This window comes from Homo sapiens, chromosome 11 (genome assembly GCF_000001405.40).
Source record: "Homo sapiens chromosome 11, GRCh38.p14 Primary Assembly".
In the NCBI taxonomy this organism is placed as follows: Eukaryota; Metazoa; Chordata; class Mammalia; order Primates; family Hominidae; genus Homo; species Homo sapiens.
In genome coordinates this window covers 133,825,072-133,830,367 of record NC_000011.10, presented here as the reverse complement: position 1 = coordinate 133,830,367, position 5,296 = coordinate 133,825,072, and positions in this window count along the sequence as shown.

The following is a 5,296-nucleotide window of genomic DNA, read 5'->3' as shown; positions in this document are numbered from 1 at the left end:
TATAAAATGAAAGAAAAGGGTGCTTTTCTTTGAATTTGCACCATTTGGCCCCCTTTCTCAGGGCCTGTGGCCAACAGTCTAGGGAGTCATGTGGGCCACGGGAGGAGAAAGCAATGGGGGCCACAGGACCGTGTCCGTGCCGCCATGCCTTTGCTGAGCTGTGTGGCAATGCTTACGTCACTTGACTTCTCTAGACATGGCGTTTTTCCATCTGCGAGTTAATAATGTCCTTCTCTCAGTGTTGGTATTAGGTGAGGCACTGCATGCAAATCCTCAGCACCATCTCTGGGCAGAACTGGTGGTCATTCATGTTATCTATGCCTCCATCCCCTGCTGCACCCCTTTTCTCCAAAGAGAAGAGGCGAGTTATTCAGTGTGTCCAGCTTACCCCTCTAGAAAATGGGACAGTTAGAGCCCCTCACCACCCAGAGTTGGTTTGAGCCAAAATTGTTGGGAGGAACTGGAGTTGGGAAGGGTGTTATGGTTTGATACTTTCATTGCCTCCTGCCTCGGGGTCTGGCCAAGACCATGGTGTTAGACTGTTCTTTGTCCAGTCCTCTGAGGCCTGCCTGTTCTCCCATCCTCAGGTTGGGTTTGTGCCACGGATCCCAGATGGGCTGACCTTGGGAACCACCCAGTGCCTGGCATATAGTAGACACTCAATAAATTGTGTTGAGTCATTAAACCTTGGATTGGCTGTGTGGCCTTGGACAAGCCCATTCATGTTTCTAAGCTCACAGGTGAAATGGGAATGATAATAACACCTGCATGGCAGGGACAGAGCAGTTGCACACAGAGCTTCTAACAGTGTTCTGCACGTTTGTTAAGTGCCTCAATAAATGCTGCCGAGATCAGTACAACACCGGAGGGATCGTAGCTCTTTCTTCACTCCTACTCTTGGGGGAATGTTTTAAAATAGAAAAACTGTTTCCATCGAGACATCCACCACCCAGAGCTTTGAAGGAGCAGGGAGAAGACTCAGAATGAATGTTGCCAATGAACAAACTTAAATTCCTGATGGGCAGAAATGTATCATTTCCTTTCCGCAACAGGAGAGGGAAAGTGACAGTGCAGGCAGCAGCTGCCTCCCTGCCAAGCCTCTGAATCTGAGACCCCTCCCAGTTCCAACCCCAGGAGCCTCAAGGGTTTGCACGGGTAAGTTGGGTTTGGAATACAAACATACTCCTGTCCTCAGTAAGCCACCAATGTGCAGGGATTGGATGCATGGAATTCTCTTCAGGCCATACTCCATAGAGTTATTTTAGATGACGAGATGACATCTCCGAGTTCACCTAATCCATCCCAGACAGATGAGGCCTATGCTTCTGAAACAGTCTGTGGGTCCTGCCCCGTGGCCTCCTTCTTCTTCCTAGGCTCCAAGTCTTCAGCTGTTCAGGCGGGAATGCCATTCCACATGCCTTTTCTCAGTCAACTCAAATGCCACATCCTCTGTGAAATGTGTCCTCTTTTTTCCTGGCCTCCAGCTCTCCACCAAGATTAAGTTCTTCTCACTGTCTATATATTAAGACGTCTCACTGTCTATATATTTAGCATAGTTTCTTTTTATATTATGTTTAAAAATAGTTCCCCCTTCTTCCCTGCCTCCCCACTCTCCTCCGCCAGCCATTTATGGGCCTGTCAGGCTCACTGCATTGTAAGATGCTTTAGGGCAAGATTTGGGTCTTGTCCATCTTCATGGTCTCAATAGAGGTTGAACTGATTCAATGTAGCCCGAACCACCCCACTAAAAAGCCAACCGATTTGCATGTTATGTTTTCAGACCCAGGCTAATGTGACACCCTACCTGCATTCCTAATCCTTCCATCCTTCCATGAACCTTCCCTTCCACCTCCTCTCCTCCCTCTCTCTGTCTTTCATGTCTCTCTCTGTTTCTGTCTCTCTTGATGCTATCTCTCCATCTATTTCTCTCTCTACCTGTCTGCCATCCACAGGTCTCACCCTCAGCATCATAATCCCCATGAGTGGGCTTGCTCCAGTCGCAAACAGTGTGTGTCGTTCCCTGGATGGAATTCTGTCATGGCTGTGAGACAGGTCCTCTGAGTGAACCCTGGCCATAGAAAGTATCTCTTGAAAGATCACTGTGGTGACCGTTCCTGTAGTAATCAATAGCCTCAGGATGGAGCTTTTGGAGTTGTGGTGTATGCTTAGGACTGAACACAAAGGCCTTTCCAGGGGGCATGAAAACCAAGAGGAAGACCAGCAAGAGTAGCTTTGCAAGATCTCCTTCCCCGTGTGGTACTCTCTGTCTCTCTCTCTCTCTCATGTCTCAGTCTCTTTTGATGCCATCTCTCCATCTCTGTCTCTCTCTCCATCTCTCTCTCTCTCTCCCTCTCTCCCTCTCTTTCTCTCCCTCTCCCTCTCTCTTGCTCTCTCTGCCATCCACAGGTCTCACCCTCAGCATCATGATCCCCATCAGTGGGCTTGCTCCGTTGCTAAGAATAAGCCCTTCATGATCTGGGTACAAAAAGAGCAGGAACGGGCAAATCTGCCACTCATACAGCTGTGCTTGGCAAAGAGGGATAAGAATTCCTTCAAACAAGAGCCTGCCCACCAGCTGCTCCTGAGGGACCTGGCACATGTGGGTCACTTGGTCATGGTCCCTTGAGTTTGGCAGGTCTGGCTTCCTCTGATTCTCCCACCTCAAGTTGCCCCGAAGTGTTCTGGGACACAAGTGAGTGTCTGTAGGGGAAATGGCTTCCTCAGTCATTGCAGGATGTATTTGACCATGGGAGTCTTCTCTACATCATGGTCACCCTGAGTTGTATTTATTCAGAGTTTAGATTTTCATATGGTAGAAAACATTGAACTTGAGGTCCCAGCTCTGTTACTTCCTAAATGTGTAATCAAGTCAAGGATGCGTGACTTAATCTCTCTAAAACTCATTGAAAAAAAATTATATAATGAACTATTGAATAAGCCAAGGAACATATATGCACTCTTATAAGCTCTGAAGTTGTAGTGGTGAGTAGGAGAACGTCCCTGCTCTCAGGTTCTAGTGGAGGGAGGGGCACCACATTTAGAGAGAGCTGATCTAATAGATAGAAAGCCGTGGTACTCTATGCTTTGGAGAATGGTAAAGCAGAGCGTGGAGAGGATGGCTGGCAGTTGCTTTTTTATGGAACGTGGTCACTGATGGCCTTGCTGAGGAGGTGACATTTGGGGACAGGCCCCTATGAGGTGAGGAAGTGAGCTGTAGGTATCTGGGGAAGGGGGTTCCAGGCAGAGGGAACAGTATGTGCTAAGTCCTGAGGCACAGGTGGGCCTGGTCTGTGAAAGAATCAACCCTTGTGGCTGCAGCAGAGGGAGCAAGGGAATAGAGGGGATGGGATGCAGTGCGACTTGAGTGATGTTAAGCCCCTAGGACAAGGCAACACAGCTGTGTGGAGAGTGAGGGCTGATTGCCCAGGAGGAGCTGTGGAGGAGTCTGGCCGGGAGATGCTGGCTGTGGGCTCTGATTAGGATTCCAGGTTGCCCTTTTCCCAAGGTGGAAGTTTAAAGCAGTGGCTAGGATCATCTTTGCATCTGAAAAGATCTCTTACTGGGCTCTGTAATCCAGTTTTCCTATCTGTAAAATGAAACGGTGCCTCTAGACCTCATCAGATATTGTCAAGGACAAACGACATGTTTGATAAGGGCCACTTGAAGTTAGGGTGCACAGTACCAATGCAAGCTGCTATCACAATAATTAGGCCTCTCTTGATTGTGGAATGGATTTCCATTTCTTCAGGCAAGCATCAGACAACATTCTCAGAACCTGAAGAACACTCTCCCCATTGATTACCTCACTTGATCCTCACAGCCCATCCAGAGTGGTTGAAATTTTTATTATTCCCATTCAACAGACCAGGAAATGGAGGCTCAGAGACTAGAGGGATGAATATACACAGCCAGCGAGTGCTGGCCTTCAACAGAAACATTCTGATACAAATTCACTTCCAAAGAAGAGGATGCTACTATCTGTGGAGGTAGGATATGTGGAGGTCAAGGTATAGATTCAAACCTGAATCAGATCTGAGCAGAAATGGACTTCTCGAGAGCCACTATTATTATGGTCACACATACAGTCCCTGGAAATAATGCAGCATTATAGACTGCACAGATTAATACACAATAAAAATTGCTGAAAATACTCTAGGCAGATGCTAGCTATAACACAGAAAGCTTAGGAAAATCAGGCGAAATCATAACATACCAGCTGATGGCAATTAAGTACAGATGACAAAAGAATGACATTAACTCAGCTAAGATCTGAGAGCCTCACTGCAACTGCATGGGGGCCCTGAGAAAGATTGGGGTGCATGGTGGGGAGGGCTGCAGTGGTGGTGCTTCTGCCCATGAGGAAAAGCCCCCCATCTCCAACCCCTTCGAGAACAGCTCTTGAGAAGGCAGAAGATCTATGACAAAGAGCCAGCTGGTTCCAAGGGATTTCACCCTGGAACTGTGCTCCAACACCTTCAAGGAGTTCTGAGGGTTCTTTGAAAACTGCACGTCCCCAAGGCTCCTCCTTTGGGTCTGGAGTGTCAGAGGGCTGGGGAATTCTGCGAGTGTCTAGCACTTTGCAAACTTCCAGAAAGGGCTGGTTGCATATCAGGCTGAAATAGAGAAGAGTCTTCCATGGAGGCTGAGGGCTGCCTTCAAGTGACCTCTGTGGAAATGTCTTTCAAAAGACATTTCAGCCTCCATGCAAGACCCTCCTCTATTTGAGCCGGATATGCGACCAGCTCTTTCTGGAAGTTTGCAAAGAAAGGAGTTCTGCAGCCTTTATGATTTCTTCCTTCTCCAAACATTCTCTGCTGAAATGGAGACTCATTTATCCCTCTTGTTAATTCTTCATCTCCTATCCTGGCTTCAGTAGTTCTCGGAAAACTCATTGATGCTGAGTTCGCATGTTTGTGGGAAACAGAGGTGAGACCAGAGTCAGGGTGAAGAGGAGGAGAAAGAGGAATAGGGAAGGGGAGCGGCCGCCATGCACCAGCTTCCTGGAACAGCAGTCCCAGGTCCACCGCGGTGGGGGTGGCATCCCTGGTGCGCTTTTATCGGCGTTATCATGCAATATTCCCCAGCCTGCTTTGTCTTTGCGTTGCATTTTATCAATACCACCAGCGGATCCTGCTGTCCCTTTCTGTGGGTTTATTAATATTGCCCTCTGATCTATGGGTAGCTGCCACACTTTATATTCCAGCCCCATCCTGGCTTCTCCAAACTCAGACACCATATTTAATTAGATTTTCTCCCTGGCTCAGGCAAACAGAAATTGAACTCCCAGTATATCTCT